We start from the raw sequence: 25,262 nt of genomic DNA, 5'->3' as shown, positions 1-25,262 counted from the left end.
ACTACAGCTGGACATTGTAGAGAAGCGGCTTGACTTCAGAGGGACAGCTTGATGTCATAACTTTGAGAAGAATCCTGCCAGAGATGGCCACACTCCAGGGAAATGTTACCTTTCCACCCTGTCCCCTTTCAGCTCCACTTCCTGCTGAGAGTAACCTTCATTGGCAATAAAATCCCCTACATTTACTATCCTTCAATTCGTTACTGCGACCTCACTTTTCCTGGATGCCAGGCAAGATCTCGGGAACCACAAGTGTGGACACAAAAGGCTGTCACGCTGGCCCTTTGCCCTTGTTGCTGGAGGGCAGCCACCTCATGTGAAAAGGCAGAGGTTTCACTGAGAGGTAAATATATAAGCCATCCATGGACTGCAGAGCTAAAAGAGCACTGTAACATATCCTCTGGGGCTTCAGAGGTTGCAGGCGCCCCCACCTGGACGCTGCTAGGGGGCCTGCATAGAGTTTGCTCCTGAAGGTGCCCAAAACTGCTAGCTCCAGTTCCTGCACCTGCTCACCTGCATGCTCCCTCCCATGAGGAGTGAAACGCAGTAGTTCTGAGTAGTGGAGTTTGATCCCACCGCGCCAAAGCAGCTGGCTGGTTCCAGCCCTCCTGCACTCTAGTTCCTGCCTTGTTCACTCGCACACTCCCTCCTGCAAGGAGTTGAGAGCGCTAGGCTTAATAAACGAGGCACACGCACGCCTGTCACGAGTCCCGCGAAGGGATCGGGGAAATATCCTGCTTCATCACTATTGATTTGGTGTATGTGTTTTTTTTTTACACTAACTGGAATTGACAAATACTCTAGTTACGAGTTTGCATTCCCTTCCTGTAGTACTTCAGACTACAGCCCATCCATCCAAAAGTTTTTAAAACACTGTTTTTTTCCCTGAAGTTATCTGATATTATCACTGTTTTCAAACCAGACTTCTATACTCACTAGTACAGAAAAATAAAGAGTGAGAAACGTAAAAACGCTTCTTTGGCATAGCTCCTTTTGAACTTAAAGTTGACACCCAATTAGGTGTTGAGAACAATTATATTAGCACATCAATTACCAAAATTGTCTGATAATAAGACTTAGGTGAGGAACGTGTAAAATCATAGAATCCAAAGCCCTTCACCTGAATGTTGATATTTATTTAGTTAAGTGGCATGAAGCTATGGATTTTGTCTCTGTTACTGACCCAAGGTTGATTATAACATCAGATCAATTCGAAGATAGTACATCAAACTATAATATTAAAGCAGCCTCAACAATAAATTTAGAGCATTCACTTCAGAATTTAAAAAGGGAACTGATATTTTGATGAAAGAAGTGTTTGATTGTGATATTTATTGCATTGCCTTTCTGTTCCCTTTGTTTTCGTGTTTACGCTTCTTTTTTATAATTATGCTGCGAGGTCATTTTGTGTTTTACTTCTCAGCAATTAAACACTTTCCTATAAAAATTTGAATGACATATGTCTGTTTATTTCTAAACTCTAACATGTGCTATGCAAATAATAGAAAATTGCCATCAAATGACTCACCCAGCTAAAGGTAGGATATGAATGGTAAATACTTTTGTTTAGATATTTGAAATAATATTTCATCCTTGCTTAACAGGAACCAGGGAAATAGTCACCTTAAAAACTGGAAAATATTGTTGACCTGTAACACTCCGTTTCTTATAGTTCAAAGTGAAATGAAAGGAATAGATATAGTCCTTCTTACACTGCTATTTTCAAAACAGAAAATAATTTCTATGGGCACACGGAAACTATCAGGGTAGTTAGCACTAAATTTCAATGTGATGAACCAAATATATTGCTATGCTATGAAGTAATATATTGTGTCATATAAAAACAGGGAAAAATAGACATTGAATGATCATTTGACTGTCTTTTGGATGAGCATCTGCAGAGCATTCTGGCTCTTGAGAATAAGGTATATTTTCATACAGATTTAAATCTATGTATTTTTAGCACTATTTCTTTTTTGGTGTGTAAGTTAATATCTCCTGTTGATTCAAAAGATATGAGACACTATAATACACAGATTTTCAACCTGGCAAGGTATCCTTTCTATTCAGTAGTATTAGTGCAGAAATAGATTTATATGGTTAGGCATGGTGGCTCAGGCCTGAAATCCTAGCAATTTGGGAGGCTGAGGTGGGCAGATCACTTGACCACAGGAGTTCAAGACTAGCCTAGGCAACATGGCAATACCCTGTTTCTACAACAAATACAAAAAAAAAACATTAGCCAGGAGTGATATCACATACCTATAGTCTAAGCTACTCAGGAGGTTGAGGTGGGAAGATTACTTGAGCTTGGGGAGGGCAAGACTGCAGTGACTCAAGATAATGCCACTGCACTGCAACCTGGATAACAGAGTGACATTCCATCTTAAAAAAAAAAAAAGTATGTGTGTATATATTTTGTAAGTTGTAAATTTTATATAAAGTATCATTGTTAAAACAGAAGTTAAGAAATTATTTGAACAAAGTTAATAACTATCCAAAAACAGCTAAATATTATTTACTACTTTATGTGCTAATCAAAGAATTTCTTAAAACTCTATTTCTAGAATTTATTATTTATATGAGTAAAAATGTCATTACTGCACTCCATCATGTGAATTTCGAACCAAGCAAATTTTGCTCATTACCTGGCAAAAAGATTGCATGTTGCACACCTCGTATCTCTTCAATAAAGTTTCCTCTAGAAAATTAAGAAAAGTTAATTATGTTCAGATTAAATAATCTTAACATGAGTCCTTTAATATCTGAACATAAAATATTTAATATTGTTTATTTATTAAATTACAATTTGGACAACGTTAAGTGTTCAGGGTTATAGATCCTCATGGTGAGCCCCCACAGTCCTCTAAACAAATGTAAACATCCTCTTTCAATAGATTTGTGTAACTAAACAGACCCTGAATATGTTTTATTTAAAAAAATTCACAACTCTGATTATTTTTAAATGTTACTTTTCCAACTCTTCCTATTTCTTGCATATTATTTTCCACTTCTGTGGTATTACCTGCTTTGAGGTAAAAAGAAGCCACTGTTTTATATTTAAAGGATTCGTAATTCTAAAAAATCCATAAATACTTGAGAATCTTTCATCATATCTTAAAGGGATTTTTGGTATATAGAAGTAAAAAACTGGTTATTCAAGCTGAAAAAGATAAAACTGAATCCCTACCTCAGATCATACGCAGCTCTAGATAGGCAGCAGACTAAATGTCAAAATACAAAACTTTAGGTTTCTCAGTAAAAAAAATTTTTTTAAGTTGAAATATCCCTTAGATCTTGTGGGGGAAATATTAGGTTGGTGAAAAGTAACGGCAGGTTAAATATTTGTTGAAAAAGATACAAATTTTGTTGACTATAAAAAGCTTAACAAATTTGACTCTATTAAAATTAAGAAATTCTGTTTTTTTAAAAAGACACATTAAAAGAATGTGAAAAGGCATCCTATACACAGATAGAATACATATATTTATATAATTTATATCAAAACTATGCCAGGTGCAGTGGTGTGCACCTATAGTCTCAGCTACTTCGGAGGCTGAAGTGGGAAAATTGCTTGACCGCAGGAATTTGAGACCAGCCTAGGTAACATAGGATGACTTTATCTCAAAAACAAAACAAAACAAAACCCAAAGAAACAAACAAACTATACATATAGAACATATAGGGCTTCCTTCGTTCCTTCGTTCCTTCGTTCCTTCCTTCCTTCTTTCCTTCCCTCCCTCCCTCCCTTTCTTCCTCTCTCTCTCTCTTTTTTTTTTTTTCTTTGACAGAGTCTAGCTCTGTCGCCCAGGCTGGAGTGCAATGGCACGCAATCTCAGCTCACTGCATCCTCCGCCTCCCGGGTTCAAGCGATTCTCCTGCCTCAGTCACCCGAATAGCTGGGATTTCAGGCACGTGCCACCATGCCCGGCTAATTTTTTGTATTTTCTATTTTTATTAGAGACAGGGTTTCACCGTCTTAGGCAGGATGGTCTCCATCTCCTGACCTCATGATCCACCCACCTTGGCCTCCCAAAGTGCTGGGATTACAGGCATGAGCCACCGCACACAGCCGGCCTTCCTTCCTTCCTTCCTTCCTTCCTTCCTTCCTTCTCTCTTTTTCCCTTTCTTCTTTTCCTTTTTTTTTTTTTTCAGGTCTCACTCTGTCACCCACGCTGGAGTGCAGTGGGATCTCTACTTGCTGCCACCTCCGCCTCCTGGATTCAAGCAATTCTCCTGCCTCAGCCTCCCCAGTAGTTGGGGCTACAGGCCCACACCACTGCGCCTGGTATTTTATTTTGTTTTATTTTATTTTATTTTATTTTATTTATTTTATTTATTTTATTTTATTTTATTTTATTTATTTTATTTTATTTATTTTATTTTATTTTATTTATTTTATTATTTTATTTTATTTTATTTTATTTTTTAATTTTAATTTTATTTTTATCCTTTTTGTCCTTTTTGTAGAAGTGGGGCTTCACCATATTGCTCAGGTGGGTCTCAAACTCCTGAGCTCAGATGATCCACCCGCCTCAGCCTCCAAACTGTGGGAATAAGATGAGCCACCATGCCCAGTTCCTAAGGTTTTCCGTGTGTGTGTGTGTGTGTTTGCAAATGGAAAAAATAATGAGAAATGCACAGAAAAGTAACAGAAACAAATGGACAAAAATCATGAACAGGCATTTTACATAGGTCACCACACAAAAAAAGATATTTATTAATAACTTCATTGTAATCAGTGACATCAACATCAAAACCACTGTAATTTTCTGTCTAATTCTTGTTACATTGGCAACATTAAGATTTTACAATACCAAGTGTTAGACGTAGTGGAAATCTGTAGAATCTCTTATATATTACCAATTGGAGAGTTAGTTATCTATCACTGAAACAGTTTGGCATTATTTTTTAAGTTGATTATTCTCATGTTTTATGACACAGAAAATTTATTTCTAGGAATGTCTAGGAGAGTCTCTTGCACTTATACAATCAAACACAGGTTCGGAAATGTTGTATCACTAATTTTCACTTAACAAAAGCTTGGAAACAACTCAAATGTTCATCAGTGGATCCAACATCCATGGAATATATTGTAACAGTATGTTCAGACAGTGCCGTATTACCCAACAGTTAAAGATGAATCCAAGACTATGGTTGATGTCTGCAACATAATACAAATGAAAAACTTAGTTTCAAAATATTACATATGCCTGACACCCCTTGTTAAGTGAAAGAAAACTAAAAATAAGGCATTCCTTGGAGATATTGTGGTTTCATTTCCAGACCATCACAATAAAGCAAATATTGCAATAAAGTGAGTCACAAGAGTTTTCTCGTCTCCCAGTACATATAGTTTTTCTTTTAAATGGTTATATTGCTTCCTATTCACTGCACTAAAATCTTCTGTGTTCCACCTATTCATCCCTCTTTCTCTCTTAATCCCTGGCAACCACTGATCTTTTTATTCTCTTCACAGTTTTTCCTTTTCTAGAATATAGTTGGAACCATCTAGTGTTTAGCCTTTTCAGGTTGGCTTTCTTCACTTAGTGATGTGAATCTAAGGTTACTCCATATCTATCATGGCTTGATAACTTAAATCATTTTAGTACTGAATACTATTCCATTGTCTGGAGGTACCTGAGTTTGTTTATCTCTTCACCTCCTAAAGGACATCTTGTTTGTTTGCAAGTTCATACAATTATGAATAAATGTGCTATACATGGGTGTGCAGGTTTTTGTGTGGGCATATGCTTTCAACGCATTTAGGTAAATAATAAGCAATCCATGACTACTGGATCTTGCGGAAACAGTATATTTAGTTTCTTTACAAACTTTCAAAATGTATTCCAAAGTAGCTAAACAATTTTGTATTCCCACCAGCAGTGAATGAGAATTCCTATTGTTCCACATTTTCACCAACATGTGATGTCGTTACAGCTCCAGGTTTTGGGCATTCAAATAGGTGTATAGTGATATCTCATTGTTGTTTTAATTTGCATTTCCCTGATGACATATGATGCTGAGCATCTTTTTATAGTGATATGCCATCTGTATATCTTCTTTGGTGAGATATCTGTTTAGATCTTTTATACATTTTTAAATTTTGGATTGTTCTTTTTCTACTTGAGTTTTATGAGTTTTTTATATATTTTAGATAACAGTCCTTTAACAGGTATATTGTTTGCAGATATTTTTCTCCCAATTCTGTGGCTTTGCTTCATATTCTGTTTACCATGTCTTTTACAAAGCAGAAGTTGTTAATTTTTATGAATTCTGGCTAAACAATTATTTATTTCATGGATTGTGCCTTTGGTGCTATATCTAAAAAGGCATTGCCAAACCCAAGGTTATCTAGATTTTCCTGATGTTATCTTCTAGGAGTTTTATAATTCTGCATTTTACAACTAGGTCTATGAATCATGTTTAGTTGATTTGTGAAGAGTGTAACATCTCTATCTAGATTCACTTTTGTTTTTTGTATATGGATGTCTAGTTGTTCCAACATCGTTTGTTGGAAAGAGTATCTTTCTCCATTGTATTACCATTGTTCCTTTGTCATGGATCAGGTGACTATATTTGTGTGGGTTGGTGTACCATTTTTTAATTGGTTTCTATACTATTTCTAATATTCCTTCTAATAATTTTAAGACCAAACCACTCTCCTTGGCAGCTGTAGCCCTTTGGTATCCTGGGGTCACCTACAGAACTCAGAACCTAATTTTCAGAGAATGTTACTGATGCCAGGAGGAACTCATGGGCACTATGAGAAGAAAGCTATGGAAATCTCCCTTCTAAACTGTGAATTGAAAAGATCTTTTCCCATGGCAACTTTTTACACTTCTTTCTCATAACACTAAGAAATACTTGACTCTGACCTTTTTCATACTTCTGAAATGTTTTGTTATTGGAACATCTTGTGAGTGCTTTGCTTCCTATGACTTTCTGCTCACATCTTTGCGCTTGGTTCCTCTCATATTTTCATCAGAAAGAGATCAAACCAGAACCTAGATGATATGAGTGCTACCAAACAACTCAGGAAGAGTAAAAGAGGGACTTGGAGTCAACTTGAAATTGTTCAGTTTAATTGACAAAGATATATCAAATGATGTAGGAAATAAATTTCCTGATCTTAAAAAATAAGATGAAATTGACATTAACTAGAGATAATTAACTTGAGGTAAACCTGAATATAGCTCCCACAATTGTTATTTAGGCTACCCTCAACCTCAATCAATATTGTTACTCTAGAAAATGGGAAAGATTATTTATAAATAATATTTATATTCATTATAAATCATCATGAATATTTCTTATAGGTTTTAAAGAACACAGCTAAAAAAATGGTGAAGGCATTGTTTTCCTTTACCCTCTCTTTGTTGTCATTATTCTTTATATTCTAAGTGCATCTGTTTTTCTCAGGGTTCTTTTGCCTGGAAAGTAATCTGATATTAATTCCTACTAATGTGCCCATGTCTCAATTATTCATTTATTGTAAAAATAGGACTCTTGTCTTAAAGGTAGATTTGGAATGATTTTCTTGGAATCTAATCTAAAGACTCCTATTCAAGAAGAGAGATCTGAGGTAAGCCGCCTAGGTTTTCTGTCTTTTTTGTTTTTGTTGTTGTTTGTTTGTTTGTTTTTAAATTGAGACAGGTTCTAGTTCTGCCACCCAAGCTGGAGTGTAGTGGTATAATCACAGCTCACTGCAGCCTTGACCTTTCTTGACCCCCCCAAACTCAAGAGATTCTCCCACCTCAGCCTCCTAAGTAGCTGGGACTACAGTCACATGCCACCATGCCCAGCTAATTTTTGTATTTATTGTAGAGATGAGGTTTGGCCATGTTGCCCAGGCTGGTTTTGAAGTCCTGGACTCAAGTGATCCTTCGACCTCTGCCTCCCAAAGTGCCCACCTAGCTTTTCTGAGCCTTAATTATCTTTCTTGAAAACTGCTCACGCCTTTTAACCCAAACTTTAGGATTGTAATATGAGTCAAAATGTCAAAAAGTTGGGATATTAGACAAAATTATTCATGTGCTACATGTGCAATGTATTATTCTGATCATCGTCATCATTATTAATCTCGTAGTATTGGCAGGATTATTGCAATGGTACATATAAAGGACTTAAGGTACTGTCTAGCACTCAGGAAGTCCTTAAAAGTGCAGATCTTATGAAAACCTATTTACTATAACAGGGTTGAATGTTTAATCTTCTCCTTTCACTTATTACGTGTTTCTTAACATGATTTAGGTCAAACTATTCTTCTTTTTAGAATAGGGTTTTCTGTAACTCCTGTACGGAGTCTTAATTTTAATGTTAATCGTACCTCCAAAAGATCCTTTCTTCTATTTATCTGAATTCCTACTGCTAGCATCCTAGTTGGTTTAAGCTAGAAACTTATTTTTTCCTGAATTGCTATAACACTGTTAGGTTTGATTTACTTCTTTCCACACCTTGCTCTTTCGAAAGCGTGATCTTGAAGCAGACGATTGGATCATGTTGGTAACTGCTATGTACCATTGTGCAGTTGAAACACTGAAATAAATATACCGTCTCTGATGGTAGCATGGCTGAAATCCAGCTTGCTTCCGTCTGACCAATCCATATGCCTTCCACCTCCCTCAGGAGAGTATCTCTTCCCATACAGAGAGAGGCCATGTGGTCCCAAGCCTTCTTGCCCATAGGACAGTGTCCCACCAAAATTTGAAACTTAAACATTTTCACAAAATCCCAACCAGGGTTGTGGTTCTGCATGTAGCTTTTTGTGGAGCACCTACCATTGCTATCCATTATACTTAACATGGAACTTGAGGAATTAGCAGAGCCAGCAAGGCCATGCACAGATTGTCTCTAAGACCCACCTTCATCTCAGACCACTTTCTCCCTCATACTCTCAGCTCCAACCATGTTTACTCACTTTCTTTCAGCTCCCTCAAAAGCTCAGTCATTATGCAAAACCTTTGTGTATATACTTTCCTCTAATTATAACGCTTATCCCTATGCCCTATTATATCATCTAACTCCCATGCATCCTTTAGGTCACAGGTTAAATGTCACTCCCAACAGCTTTCCCTATACACCACTCCTTCTCCAGGAAGAATTAGATCTCCCTGTTCAGATTCTGTGTTTTTGAACACTTATGACTGTACCAATATATGTCTCTCTGTCATCTTGTCTGTCTTTCTCACCAAATCATATGCTGTAAAAGGAAGAGAGTGCTTGTCTTCAACTCATAACTACATCTTCATCACCTTGTAAATTAATAAATAAAACATGAAGGGATGGAATGAATGAACTTCATAATACTTTTTAACTCATATTGAAATTCATGATTTTGCTAGTTTGCTATTTTAGGAGTCTGGTCATAAATCTAAATATTAAAAATGACATTAAAATTGTATTGCTGCCAGCAACATTGATACTTGGTTCTTTACCAATATTGCTTTTACAGACCACTAAGGCCTTCAGGCATTTCAGAGAGAGATTTATAAGAGCCTTTAATCATTACCTCCTGGGCTTCTTGGCAGGCAAATGTGTGCTGCCAGGACTGCTTCCCCAGACTGTCTGTGATATCCGAAGAGCGCAAGCAAGGCAGCTACAAGTGTTATAAACAATACTTGGTCCCTGAAGCCCGCCTGTGGTATTGCTGTCTCTTTACTGGCCTTCATAACAATGTCAAACCAAAGCTTTGTGCTGGAGGATTTGTCTTCCGTAACACCATTGGGTAGGTAGGATAAAATAATAAATAATAATAATAGTTACTGAAAATAATCAACAAGATAGAGCAAGTAAAGGGCTCAGTGGCTATATGAAGCACAATCACTAACATACCCCAGGATTCTATCTAGGAAAATGAATGCATGTTAGATGTGTTATGCTTTCATAGGGTATTTTTTTTCTTTTCTTATCCTCTTCTCTTTTTCCTTCATTTTCCTTTTTTTCCTTTCTACTCCCCTAGCAGTTTTCTTTCCTTTCCTTCCTGATATTTTTTCCACTCATTCTCCAAGTTATTATTTCATTTTTTGTCTTGCTATTGTTAAACAGCACCTCACATACAAATCCAAACACATGAGAGAAAAGATCAGAGCTGTGTTGGTCAAAGAGAGGTAGGGTACTAGAATTGCTCAATATCCACATTTTTTTTATGTGGACCTTGGGTAAAGTCTATTGAACTCTAAGAAATGTAAATAATGCAATTTAAAAACAATATCCAGGACCAAAGAAATGTTTGTTTGTTTGTTTGTTTGTTTCTTCAATCTGGCACACAATACATGGGTGAAATGAATAGATAGAAGTGGACTTGTGTAATAGGCTTACTCATGGTAGTAGGGACCATATTCCCATACACTGGCTTTTAGATTATTTGGCTGTCTTTTTAAATGTTAGCCTTTTTGAAGTTCTTGGCAGAAAGAAGATAACTTTTCAAAATGCCTTTTAAATCAAAACAACACTTGGGAATTTTATTTTTAATATAAATTTATTATTTCATCTCTTCTCTTGTGTTAGGACTTACTCCTTATTTGTTTTAAACTTTAGCTTTTATATTTTGCACTATTTCTAGGTACCTAAGTTAGTCTTACATTTGATTATTTTACAGTTAATTTGTGTTTAGTTTGTGTTTTGCATTTGGGCAGTTTTAGAAAATAATGAGACAAAACATAACAAAATTAACATATTGCCACATAATGAGCTAAGAGAGAAAAATTATATATAGCCAAACAGTTTCAATAATTCACACTTGCCAAAATTATACAGGTTTCTAGGACTTAGTTTTCATATTCTCCAGTTGCATAAAATTCAATTAGAAAATAAAAACTAATTCAAGTAAACCCAAAGTAGGTAGTAAAATGATAGCAAAGCCTCAAATGATAAATTAAACTAACTGGTAGAAAGTAGAATTAATATATATTATTTTAAATGGTTATACTGTTTATTATTCCCCTAATATGCTAGCACTTTTGTTTGCATTTTGCATTCATTTCTGTTTTTCTTTAAGCCTAAAGTGCCTTTACTGTGTGTGTGTTTTTTTTGTTGGCAGTCTTTTTGTCTTAGAACAGTTTTAGGTTCATAGCAAAAGTTGAGTGGAAGGTAAAGAGATTTCTCAGATATTCCTGCCCCAACAGACGTACAGCCTCCATGACCATCAGTATTCACACCAGAGTTGTACATTTGTTATAATCTATATACCTATATTGGCATACCATTATCATCTCCATAGTTTGCATTAGGGCTCATGTTGCACATTCTACAGATATTGACAGACATTCGCACCATTTGTTGGCAGTCTTAACGTGTGCTTCTTAAAGTCATCTGGATTCTACCAGAAAAGTTACTCACTCAACTCCCTTAATTTATACAATATTATCCCATGGTTTTGATAGTCTTTTGTTATAGGTTTTTCTTCTCTAGTAGGATGTCAGTAAATTAGGAAGGGGGCTATTCCTTGTACCTTTTCATAGGCCCAGCATTTATCAAAGTGTCTTGAAAATAATATAAACTTTAATAATGTTACTGAATGAATGTAACCTGGAAACACAATGCATATTATGCACCCCGCCCCCCACCCTTTTATGGACCATTTTATCGGAGTCCCTTGATGAATGTTGTTTAAACAACAAACAAACAAATAACTTCAGGCCAGGACAGGGTGTGTCATCCTTAACAATTTCTTGTTTTTAATATAAACAAATGATTTATCTCATAACAGTGCAATGAGGACACCAATATGGAAGGACCATGACTTGAAGGAAAAAAAAATATCCTAGATGAGTGTTAAAATTACTGAGAACAACCTGTTCCAGCAACCATAGGATAGTAGGTGAAAAGGGACAGAAGAAGGCAACATAAAAATATGTACTGAAAAGACTTTCCAGTGATTTCTCATGAGAGTCTATCTTGAGAGCAGACAGGCTTATTGCAATCAGGAACTGAGGGGTTTTCAGGCTGGAGGATTCTGGCCTAAGGTGATACCAAGTAACAGAATTGCAAACAGTGACAAGCTCTGCAAATAGCAGCTGCAAATCAAAGAACAATCTCCATGTGTGCACAGTGTGGAAGGGACTGGAGGTTACAGATTGGTCTTTTCCTCTTCACCCACACACACAAATAGCAATCACTGACAGTAATGTCATCTTTGAATAGGAAGGGCGCAGAGAAGATTCATTCATTTGTGTATTTATGTATTTATTTTTATCTTGTGTACTTACTGTGAGGCAGTTTTATCAAGAATGATCCAATGTAATAAATTTCATACATAAAAGTCTAAATAAGATTATTTATTTGGTTAGAATAAATTTCTGTAGCTGATTTTGACCTCTAATAAAGACATTTTAATCTGATCCCTTTCGAAGTGGTAAACTGCCACCAGAATATATGCCCAATAGCATATTAAAATTATATTGCTATATTTTTGAAACAGTAGGATGTTGAATCAAAATCATCATCTCTGGGGAATGCTCCTGACATGTAACTTGTGTTATGCATTGCCTCCTCTGAGAGTGTGAGGAAAACTAATTCAATTCCTGGAAGGATAGACTGACTCAGATGCAATTCACATTCAGAGTGCCTCTAAAAAGAAGATAATGAAACTATCTGTATGATATCCAAGCATTTTCAGTGCCTGAAAAATAAAAGTAATTAGATATTCTTAATAAGTTGGTACTCTCCATTCTTTTTGCAAATATTAGAGGAAAAAAAGTAAAAGATCAATTTCAGGAAAGTGATTATTCAGAACTGAAATTATTTTTACTCAGATTCAGTACAAAGTCTCTATTAGGGACTTCTCACTTGTGAGGAAGCTGGAAAGGAGAAAACAGTACAACTCACTTCAAATTTGTTTTTGGCTTCCATCTCTGGGCACGTGAATTGAATAGTTAAATATTTTATTTCTTATAATCAGAATATGTAACAAGAAACAATTCATTTAGTCATCAGACACTATGTACTATTTTTATTATTATTTTTTAAACAGGGTGTATTAGTCAGGGTTCTCTTAGAGGCACAGAATTAATAAGATATGTATATATATTAAATTTATTAAGTATTAAATTACACAATCACAAGGTCCCACAATAGGCTGTCTGCAAGCTGAGGAGCAAGGAGGGCCTATCCAAGTCCCAAAACTGAAGAACTTGGAGTCCGAGATTCAAGGGGAGGGAGCATCCAGCGTGGAGAAAGATGTAGGCTGGGAGGCTAGTCCCATCTCTCCTTTTCATTTTCTGCCTGCTTTATATTCACTGGAAGCTGATTAGACAGTGCAAACTAGATTAAGGGTGGATCTGCCTTCCCCAGCCCACTGACTCAAATGTTAATCTCTTTTGGCAAAACCCACACAGACACACCCAGGATTAATACTTTGTATCCCTCAATCCAATCAAGTTGACACTCAGTATTAACCATCACACAGGATCTTACTCTTTGATTCAGATTGGAGTGCAGTGGCGTGATCTTGGCTCATTGCAACCTCTGCATCTCATGCTCAAGCAATCCTCCTGCCTCAGCCTCCTGAGTAGCTGGGATCACAGATGCACACCATCACACCTGGCTATTTTTTTTGTATTTTTTTGTAGAGATGGGGTTTTGCAGTGTTTCTTGGGCTGGTCTCAAACTCCTGAGCTCATGCTATCCACCTGCTTCAGCCTCACAAAGTGCTGAGATTACAGGCCTGAGCCAATGCACCTGGCCGACTATATACTATTCACTTTGGTAGTCACTAAAGAAAAAGAGACATGAATAAACCGACAACCTTGTCCTTGCAGAGATCACAGCCTCTCTTATCTGCAGCGGTCACAGAAAACTGATGTATTAACAAATAAGTACAGTGAATTGAGAAATACTGTCATAAACAAATGTCCTGTGTTCCAGGGCCACAGAATAAGCATCCAATATTTTGTGTAGTTGGGAAAATATAAAGTTTGAATAAATAAGGCTTCACAGAGGAAGCAATATTAGACACCACTTGAAAGATGAATAGGAATTTTCGTGGCTGAAAAGGAGGCCAAGAGGAAGGGCATTGGGGATATGACTCAAAAGCGAAAAGGAACATTACTCATGCTGAATGTATTTCCTAAAGTCTAAAGCTTAGATCATAAGAATGAACTTTGCCAGTAAATGGATTCTTAAGACAAATGAAATTTTTGTTTTTAAATAATATATTGCCCCCTCAGGGTTTTGAAAATATAACCTTCCTTACTCTTTGCACATAGAGGCATAATGAATAGTGGAAACAGCATCAGCTCTGAGGTTTGGTAAACTGAAGTTGAGATGCTACCTCAACTAATTATGAGCTAATTTACCTTTGACATGCACCTGAACTCTGAGCCTGAATTTCTGCAGGTATAAAGCGGTCATCAAAGCACTACTTCACAAGGTTTAGTAAGGAGCAAAGAAGATATTAATCTCAGACTTAGGGACACAGAACACAGGTAGAAAGATACATTGGAATATGACCTCTTGCTTTTCTCCATCTGTGTCCTAACTTCTACAAACTTTCACTGTGGTTACATATTTTTTTACTTTAAAGATGTAAGTCTATTTAAAATGTGATTTTGATTTTTTAATCAAAGGTAACGCTTTTAATAATCAGTCATTTTAGTTTCAATCTAAATATATTATATAGTCATACTTGAAATCAAGCTTACATGAGAAAAATTCAGTAGAACACATAGGAACTAAAACTAAACGCTGATTTTTTGACCAGTGGCAAGGTCTTCCTGTTTTTCAACTGCATCTGTCTTATTGTAGATTGAGTAGTTTTGGCTACCACATGTTATTCTTTTTTCTGAATCCACGTTATTTGTAGATGCTTTTTGAAGGACTTTGTCAGCAAGGCAATAAAATTTGGTAAATTGGCCCATACTTGCTGTAGTTTACCTACATCCCCAATTATTAATTTAGAGGGTAAGGAATAAAAGAATCAATGAAATAATTGTCACTCATCCTAGCAAATGTGCATGTACCTAGTTGATATTTTCATTGATCTAAAAACTTAAGGTAAATATTGATGTGGTGAAAGGAAATTCTTTAAGAGGAGCTTCCTGAATAGAAGATGGAGAAATTTTGTGGCATTTAAAAACTTAATGTCCTCTGAAATATGTTTTACTTGATTAAAACTTGGGAACTTTGGTTGCTTTACTTCCCATTTAACTGAAAGAAATGACAGCAGTGATATTAGCAGCAGTAGCAATCATTGAGTACCTATTTTGTGTTATATTATCACACTTAATCATGACAAAAAACTGTCATGTTAGCTGTCAATATCCGTATTTTGCAAATAAGAAACTGAAAGGTGAGTTAGTGAGATCACAGATGGCATAAGTGAGGGAGCCAATGTTAGAATGCAGACTTGTCTGATGCCAGTCCAGAGAATGTCCTTAATGCTACAGCACCTATTAATATTCCTGGTTTGCTATTACAATGAAACAATGCTCCCAAATTCCTTTTTTCTAGTACTCAATATTGTGCAATACAAACACGATGATCTTCCTAGTAGCTCTATTTTCATTTCTTCTGAGAGTCTTATTGCATGTTTCCCAGACACTAAGTTTCTGTGCCTCCTCTTGGCCATAAACTTTTCTTTTATTGTGCTCTTTCTCTTTTCTCCTTCCCCCAATCTAAGTTGACATGCTCTAGACCCATCTGTGCTCCAGTGGTTACTCTAGACTAGTGGACACTGTGACCTTATTTAGCCAATGTTGAGCACTAAAATTGGCCTTGTATTCTGATGTTCTTTCCAGATTCAACTCACTAGAACTTTGCTTTACAACGTTTCTTCCTCTCTGAGTAACTGACTTGGGTTTATTGGAAGAATATTCCAGATAAGTTGAGGGATTCCACATCATTTCACTCTCAAGAACATTTGTCATAAAAATCCTTTAATCTTGGACTAAGTTCAGAATAAGTTCTCATTCAGCTGAGTAAATTTCTTCTCTGACCTAGTCCCTTTCAGCTTGGACATTTCTTTTCTTTTTCTTCTTTTTTCATTTTACTTTAAGTTCTGGGATACATGTGCAGAGCATGCAGGTTTATTAAATAGGTATACATGTGCCACGGTGATTTGCTGCACCTATAAACCCACCACCTAGGTTTTAAGCCCAGCATGCATTAGGTATTTGTCCTAATCCTCTCCCTACCCTTGCTGCCATCCCCTGACAGGCCCTGGTGTGTGTGTCATGTTCCCCTCCCTGTGTCTATGTGTTCTCATCATTCAACTCCCACTTATGAATGAAAACACATGATGTTTGGTTTTCTGTTCTTATGTTAGTTTGCTGAGAATGATGGCTTCCAGCTTTATCTATGTCTCTGAAAATGACATGAACTCATTCTTTTTTATGGCTGCATAGTATTCCATGGTATATATGTGCCACATTTTCTTTATCCACTATACCATTGATGGGAGTTTCAGTTGATTCCAAGTCTTTGCTATTGTAAATAGTGCTGCAATAGACACATGTGTCTTTATAGTAGAATGATTTATAATCCTTTGGGTGTATACCCAGTAATGGGATTGCACCATTTTATAAACCAGGTATTTTAGGTTTGGGCCTTATAGGCTGATTGCTAATCTCAATGCAGTCTTTTGTTGCTAATTTTTTGGAATCAAAGCATAAATGAGATTGGAACCCCAATCATATATACTCCTGATAATTCAGTTTATGGTCTATGAACAGGAGTCTTCTTATAAAAATTATACCACATTTTCTTCTTAGGAGACCCTAATGGAAGGATTGGGACTTGGATCATTTTATCTACAAAAGATTACCTACAGAAATTCACAGTTTTATAAAACTATTAGACAACTTAAAGTTGCTTTAATCTAATTAACATTTTTTATAAACAAGGCATCTGATGCTAAGACCACTTAAGAGAATAATCCAAAATGATACAGAAAATTAGTAAGAGAAAATTGATTACTCCATTTAGGCATGTTTTCTTCTTAAACTTAAAGAATTGTGGATTTTGAGATTGGGTTCAAGATGGCTGCCTAGAAGAAGCAGCTATAATGCACCAGTCTTGCATGGAGAGAAAACAAAGTGGTGACTAGATACTCACTCTTCTCGTGGTTGTCTCTGATACCATGTTGGGATTCACCAAGAAAGTGAGGGACTCCACAGAGAACAGAGAGGGGTGAAGCTGGATAACTACCCACAGGGGACCAGTGCAATAATGGGAGAAGCTCCCTGACGTGAGGAAAGGATAAGTGACTGAGAATCCCCAGTAAATCCACACTTCCACTACAGACCTTTGTAATCCTGGGCATAGGAGAACCCCCCTGACCATTCCAACACACATACTCCCCAGCCTCAAGACCAATGCAGAGAGCCAACTAGGGTTTTTGCAGAGACCCCACTCAGGCCCACTTGGAGCCTCACAGGCTTTGGATTTCTGAGCACCCAAATGTCATGATCCAAATAGAGGCTGCAACTACAGTGCCAAGGAGCAGCCAGACTGTCTCACTCCTCCTCAGGCAAGGCTCGGCTCAGGCTTCCAGTGCACTGATCTCGCTGCCTGAACATTGCCAGTGGGCATAGCTCTGCATTCCCCTAGGAGCCCCCCAGATTGTAGGCCTTGCAACTACCCCCAGCCACCAGCCCCCACCCCCACCCCTGCTGTTTCTAGCCAGGCAAGGTTCACTGGTTTGGACTTCCAGCACAATGGCCCTGCCCTCACCTGAACTCTGCCAGCACTGGCAGCTCTGCATTCCTCTGGGGCAAAACTCCCAGAGTAAACAGATGATGCTTGGCATTTTTTCATGTCCCCACCAGGAAAGTTCAGCATCACTTGGATGGGAGAGAAGCATGAGGATGCCATGTGCCCCACAGCTGCCAGTCTCCATTGTTCCAGCTGAAGGGTCCTGCCCTTCCCACTGAAAGACCCATAGCACAGTCACACCGAACCTGACTGAACATTTCCCTGCAACCCAACCATTGAAGGCCTGTGATATTCCCTCCATCTAAGCATTCTGCCTGCCCCTACCTAAGAGTTCAGCCAGTGACCCAAGGACCAGCCTGCCACCCCAATCATAGCCAGCCCCTGAACTCTGAACTAGCCAAACTCTAAGCCAGGCCCTTCAGAACTCATACAAAATGTCTAGCAGCCATCTAGGGGCCTACAAACTAAGAACTACCTACTCCATTCTAACTTGCTGGTACCTGTCCACTTCCCTCAGGGCCTGAGGTCAGGCAGACCCAACCACCCAACACCACTACAACCAACACCCACTTTCATATGCTCAAGGATGGAGCTCCCATCCAGCATTGACAAGAAGCAGTAGTATTGCCGCATCGGAGAACAGATGAGCCATAAAGTTATCTATATGAGGGTATGCCCTGAAAGCACTCCTACTGTCATAAAACAGGCATTCCCCATGGCTCTCAGCCACATATTGTGGTACAGAGGTAGACTACAGTGTGCATCTAAACTAAGAGTCATGAGACCTGGAACAGGAGTGTGATAGGAAAACAAATCACATTCTTGCCTAGGTCAGTGAGCCAGTGAAACTTTCTCACTCCCCTGAAGAGACCTCAGCACATTTCACCAGGAACTCCTCTCAGTCAGCTTTCTGAGGGCTAGTGCCTGTGATCACCATCAGGGTATGCATGGGCAAGTCAGGGGCTCAAGCTCTGCCCAGCTGTGTCCCCCAACTACATGGAAGAGGAAGCTCAGAGCACCAAGCAGCCCACTCTGCAGCCCTTCACCTGAAACAAGAGCACACCTCACAGTAAATAAATATCAAGTCTACATCCACCAGCTTGTGCGGTACCTGACTCCTACCTGCAAATGCCATCAACTGGTCAGTAGGATGAAACACACAGCCCAGTAGAAAACCTACTGACAGAAGTGCATAGGAGTATACAAGTAAAGCCAAAATTACCCTACCCAACAAAATTTATTGCAGATGAGAAGGAAGCGACATAAGAAGTCTGCCCACACAAAAAAATTTGAACGTTGTGATCCCACGAAAACATCACTCTAGCTCTCAGCAATGGTCCCAAATCAAGTTGGAAATTCAGGAATGATAGATAAAGAATTCAAAGCATGGATTGCAAGGGAGCTCAAGGAGATCCAGGACGAGATTGAAAATAAACACAGTGAAAATTCTGAAGCAATTCAGGAAATGAAGTAAGAGATAAAAATCTTGAAAAGAAGTCAATCACATTTTCTGGAACTGAAAAACTCACTTAAGGAATTTGAAAACACTGTTGAAAGCTTCTTCAGTAGATGGACCAGGCAGAAGAAAGAATTTTACAGCTTGAAAATGAGCCTTTCAAATTAACCCAATCAGAAAAAAAAAATGTTTGAAACATTTTTAAAAAATGAACAAAGTCTCTGAGAAATATGGGATTATGTAAAGCAACCAAATCTGTGAATTATTGCCATTCCTGAGACAGAAGGAGAAAAATAAACAATGTGGAAAATATATTTGAGGTAATGACTCAGGAAAATTTTTCTAGTCTCCCTAGAAACGTAGACATCTACACATAAGAAATTCAGACAACATCTACCAGATAGTACAAAACAGGGGTCCCCAACTCCCAGACCACAGACCAGTACTCATCTGTGGCCTGTTAGACCAGTGCTCTTCTGTGGCTGCACGGCAGGAGGTGAGCGGCAGATGAGCAAGCATTACTGCCTGAGCTCTACTTCCTGTCAGATTAGTGGTGGAAGTAGATTCTCATAGGATTGTGAACCTTCTTGTGAGCTGAGCATGCAAGAGGTCTAGGTTGTATATTCCTTATGAGAATGTAATGCCTGATGACCTGAATATAGTTACCAGACCCACTATGTCAACATTAAAGAAAAACATCTTAAAGACTGATAGACAAAAAGTTCAGATCACATACAAAAGGAAGCCCATTAGGCTAAGAGTGGGCTTCTCAGCAGAAATATTACAAGCCAGAAGGGGCTTATTTTCAGCATTCTGAAAGAAAAAAAACAAAAACAAAAACACCTCCAGCCAAAAATATCATATCCTGCCAAACTAAGCTACATATCTGAGATCATCTCACCCTCGTCTTCATTGTCCATGTCACTATCAGCATTTTGGTCAAAGCCATTCAAAAAGTCTCCAGGAAATTCCAAACTTTCCCACCTCGTCCTGTCTTCTGAGCCCTCCAAGTCTCTAGAAAGTTCCAAACTTTCCCCACATTTTCTTGTCTTCTTCTACGCCCTCCAAACTGTTTCAGCATCTGCCTGTTACCCAGTTCCGAAGTCACTTCCACATTTTCAGGTATCTTTACAGCAGCGTCCCACTCTCTGCAGTACCAATTTACTGTATTAGTCCCTTCTCACACTGCTAATAAAGACATACCTGAGACTGGGTAATTTATAAAGGAAAGAGGTTTAATTAACTCACAGTTCCACATGCCTGGGGAGGCCTCAAGAAACTTACAATCATGGCAGAAGGTATCTCTTCATCAGGTGGCAGTAGGGAGAATAAGAGCCAAGCAAAGGAAGAAGCCCCTTATAAAACCATCAGATATTGTGAGAACTTACTATAATGAGACTAGTATGGGAGAAACTGCCCCCATGCATGATTCAATTATGTTCCACTGGGTACCTCCAATGACATGTAGAGATTATGGGAACTACAATTCAAGATGAGATTTGGGTGGGGACACAGCCAAATTGTATCAGACCAATATCAAGTTCCAAAATTGAATCAGTTAGAAGAAGCCTACCAACCCCTCAAAAATATGCTAGACAGGACCAATTCAGAGCTGAATGCTGCCAGACATATGATGAAGAGGTGGTACCAATTCTACTGACACTATTCCAAAAAATAGAAGAAGAGGGACTCCTCCATAACTCATTCTACGAAGCCAGTGACACTCTGATAGCAAAATCTGACAAAGACATAACGAAAGATTTAAACTGCAGTCCAATATTACTAATGAACATAGACACAAAAATCCTCAAAAAAATACTAGGAAACTGAATCCAGCAGCACATTGAAGAGTTAATTGACCATGATCTTTAGGAATTATTCCAGAGGTCCAGAACTGGCTCAACATATGCAAATCAATAAATGCGATTTATCACATAAATAAAATTAAAACCAAGACCAGATGATCATCTCAATAGAAACAATAAAAACTATTGATAAAATCCCATATCACTTTATGATAAAAACTCTCAAAAAATTAGGCAATGAAGGAGTAGACATCAAAATAATAACAGCAATCTATGACAAACCTGTAGCCATCATCATACTGAATGAATAAAAGCTGAAAGCATTCCACTTAAGAACTGAAACAAGACACATATGCGCATTCTCCGTACTCCTAGTCAACATGGTACCAGAAGTTCTAGCCAAAGCAATCAGGCAAGAGAAAGACAAAAAAGGCATCCAATTTGGAAAATAAATTAAACAATCCATCTTCACTGATAATATGATTCTATACCTAGATAACCCTAACCTCATTAAAAAATGGGGAAAAACCGTAAACAGATTATCCTTAAAAGTAGGCATACAATCAGTCAACAAACATGAAAAAAATGCTTATGATCACTAATCATTAGAGAAATGCAAATAAAAACCACAATAAGATAGTATCCCACACCTGTCAGAATGGCTTTTATTAAAATGCCAAGAAATAACAGATGTTGATGAAGGTGTGGAAAAGATAAAATGCTTATATAATATTGGGGAGAATGTAAATTAGTTCAACTGCTATGGAAAGCAGTTTAGCGATTTCTCAAGGAACTTAGAACTACCATTCAACCCAGCAATCCCATTACTAGGTATTCGCCCAAAGGAAAATGAATTGTTTCACTAAAAAGACATTTGCACTTGTATGTTCATTGTAGCACTATTCACAATAGCAAAGACATGGAATCCACCTCGGTGACCATCAATGGGGGACTGGATAAAGAAAATGTGGTACATATACACCATGGAATATGAAGCAGCCTTAAAAAACGAACAAAACCATGTACTTTGCAGCAACATGTATGTAGCTGAAGGCCAGTATCATAAACAAATGATCACATAAATCAACAACCAAATACCAAAAGTTCTCACCTATAAATGGGAGCTAGACACTGAGTACACATAAACATAAAGGTGAAAAAAATAGATACATGGGACTACTAGATGGGGGAGGAAAAGAGAGGGGTTATGGCTGACAAACTATCTATCAGCTATTATCCACTCACTACCTGGGTGACAGGATAATGCACACCCCAAACCTCACTGACACACAATACAACCATGCAGCTAACGTGCCCATGTACCCGAGAACCTAAAATAAAAGTTGAAAAAATAAATAAATAATGGCTTTCAAAGCGGTATCAGTTACTCTTGGACAAAATTTTTGGGCCATACTCAACTACATGAGATTCTTCCAAAAAAATCAAATGTCCACCCAAAATAGTGTATATTTAAATTCTTAAGAACTGGCTGAAAAAAAAAATCAGCAAAGCCTGCTTTACACAGAGCCTTGTGGAGCACTTTCAACCTAAGTTCTACAATTATACTATGACAGAATTTTGAATGAAGATACAATGAACAGAGTTTTTGGATATCTGCAAATAAAGAGATTAAATTAATGATGGACTGATGCTTGGAGAAGGTTGTTTTGCCTTTTTGTGCTTTATTTTTAGAGAGTTGTAGGAAAGAGCTATTTAGCAAAGGCTTTTGTTTTTCATCCAGCTCAGATTGCTTTGGTGTTCTCCATGCCAATGTTTTTAACTGTTTCCAGTTGTGCTATTACAGTCATTTGCTTCTTGACTGTCACAGTGTTCTATAGTCAATGTTTATTATCATATGCTTTTTAAAAACCACTACTGGCAGTTTAACATTAACTCTCTATACATAGCGAGATGGGCATTATGAATACAATAAAAAATTATGGCTTCTGCATTATAAATTTGCAATTAACAATGTATAAGGACAGAAAATGTAAATAAAATCGAATTATGAAATGTTCTTTAACAATTAAATTGCAAAGCATTAACATTTCTATAAATTGTGTAATAACAATAACAATTGGAGTAAGAGAAAAATTAGCTCAGCAAAATTGCTTATTCTAATGTAACATATATGTAACTTAAAGAAGATATTTAAAATATCTTTCAGCTCCATTTTGAGTGGAAGCTTTTACTAGAACTAGCAATAATTTTTACTTGTCTCTGTTAACCTGTGAACCTTAGCCATATATAAAAGCTTAATGTACTTTTTTAGCTTACCTTGGCTTTTTGAATGGTGGTAAATTTAATGTGACTGATTTTCTGCTCCAGTTTCTTTATTTGTTCTATAAGCAGAAGATACAGAAAACTAATTTAAATGTGATTCTAGTTTAGAACTGTCTTTTAAGTTACCATATTGGATTTTACTTAATTTTAAGTAGTATTCCAAACCATATCTTTCTAAAATCTCAGTAATTTAATAAGCCTAAATCTATTAACTCAATTGAGTTTTTCAGACAATGTAATTTGAAGTATCATACATGAATGCAGCTCTCAAAAATATATCATATAAAAGCATTTTATTCTTGCCTGAGTCTGATTTGTTTCATGTAACCCTTTTGGGTTTGAAATAAATGTGTGTGCGCATGCACTCTATGTAGCTATATTGTTGCACACAAATTGACATGAAGACATTGTGTAATAACAATAATAACATGTTTATATAATAAGCACAATTGAAAATTAGTAGACGCAATATCGTTTACCTCTTGAAGAATGCACAGTATTTCCTTAATGTATGAACTTATGAGTGCTGTGTAAATAATAGAACATGGGTGTTCAACCTTTCTGCTTCCCTGGGCTACATTGAAAGAAGTATTGTCTTGGGCCACACATAAAATACAATAAGAATAACTATAACTGATAAGCTAAAAAAAAAGTCCATGCACAGTTTTTGTGATATCTGCCATCATAGATAAGCAAAAAATCCTCACATTCAAAGGGTTGAACACCATCTATTAATAGATTTTACTATTAATTTTCCTTTGATTATGAAAATATAAATCAAACCCAATTCTAACCAAAAAACATTTATTCAACAACTACTATTTTGCAAAACACTCTTCAAATGAAGAAGATACTCTTTAAATAGTTTCATACAGACACAAATTTGGGTACAACTGTATAGCCAGTATCTTTTTAGAATCTTCTATGTGTCAGGGCTAATGTTGAGAATTGGCAATAATATTAAGAACAAGAACATTATGAGTCCTAATCTTATGGAATTTATAATCTAGGAAATTATTATCCTTCAAAAGTTTCCATTTTAAAAGTAAAGTTAGCTAAAACAATATATTTGGCACATTAAAAATTTTAAGTAAATATTTAACTATGAAATAAAATTATTATGATGATTTCACTTTTGAATCCTAGTAAATATTGTGATGTTGCATGTTTTTACCGGTTAACACAAATACATGTTATAGTGAAAAACTGTTTTACTTTTTAATTTCAGCTTAGACAATAACATACACACGTAATAAAACATTGACTACAATTTGGACAAGATATATTAAAATTTTGCCTTTGATACATCAACTAAAATATTAGTTACTTACTTGGAAAGCAGTTAGAAGGCTCAGAGTTGTAAGGACTAGACGAATGTAGAGAAATCAGTAACCTCTTTCTTTTCTTATTACCTCAGAAAATTAGATCCACATTAATACAATGTTATTTTTTAAAGATTTTTATTATATGAGGTATGCCCCATATATATGCACAATACATACTACATATTTTTCTATCTCATTATCTGTTTCTCTGTTGATTCTGTATTATGATACACATGGTGAAATAATTACAGATAATAAAATATTTTTATTATACAAATAGTATAAAAATTTATTAAACCAATATATAACAAGTATTAAAGTGCACATAAGTCAACGTGGGGTACTTTTAAATGCATATTCCTAAGCAAAACTTCCAAAGTTTTTCATTCAGTAGTTTTCTCAGAAAGCTCCAAAAACAAACAAACAATTCAACAAAATGAGGAAAACAGTAAGCAACCAAAATGAAAAATTTAATAGAGAAATAGACATAATAAGTTAAAACATCAAACTGAAATCTTGATGCTAAAAATATAATGACCAAAATGAAAAATGCAATAGAGAACACCAACAGTAGAATTAATCAGCAGAAGTAAGACTCTGTGAACTCAAACACAGATTATTTGAAAATATACAGTCAGAAGAGAAAAAAAACTTAAAAAAGGGAAAGTGAAGAAAGCTTATGGGATTTATGGGACAGTGTCAAAGCAGCAATTGTTAGAGTTGTAGAGGCTCAAGAAGAGA

The 25,262-nt window shown here is 36.7% G+C and overlaps 1 long non-coding RNA gene across 1 annotated transcript, besides 2 other annotated features; it reads right to left on the bottom strand.

The window, feature by feature from the left end:
- Positions 1-500: an enhancer, noted in NCBI's record as "H3K4me1 hESC enhancer chr13:66501049-66501548 (GRCh37/hg19 assembly coordinates)". NCBI's record gives its function as "activates a minimal SCP1, AML or CMV promoter by ChIP-STARR-seq in primed H9 embryonic stem cells {active_cell/tissue: H9 hESC(primed)}" and the evidence as "EXISTENCE:reporter gene assay evidence [ECO:0000049][PMID:30033119]".
- Positions 12,310-24,600, bottom strand: LOC105370243 (uncharacterized). Its single transcript, XR_942033.2, has 3 exons — positions 24,528-24,600; positions 23,191-23,255; positions 12,310-12,622 (listed from the first exon to the last, which is right to left on the bottom strand). It is a non-coding gene; the product is annotated as an uncharacterized LOC105370243 (long non-coding RNA).
- Positions 13,143-14,342: an enhancer, noted in NCBI's record as "P300/CBP strongly-dependent group 1 enhancer chr13:66487207-66488406 (GRCh37/hg19 assembly coordinates)". NCBI's record gives its function as "activates an origin of replication core promoter dependent on BRD2, BRD4, P300/CBP, MED14 and CDK7 cofactors, with strong dependence on P300/CBP, by STARR-seq in HCT116 cells {active_cell/tissue: HCT116}" and the evidence as "EXISTENCE:reporter gene assay evidence [ECO:0000049][PMID:35650434]".
- Positions 24,601-25,262: the final 662 nt, after the last annotated feature.

The sequence above is a fragment of the Homo sapiens genome, chromosome 13 (assembly GCF_000001405.40).
Source record: "Homo sapiens chromosome 13, GRCh38.p14 Primary Assembly".
Lineage (NCBI taxonomy): Eukaryota > Metazoa > Chordata > Mammalia > Primates > Hominidae > Homo > Homo sapiens.
Note: the sequence above shows the minus strand (reverse complement) of the source record. Positions and strands in the feature narration are given on the sequence as shown.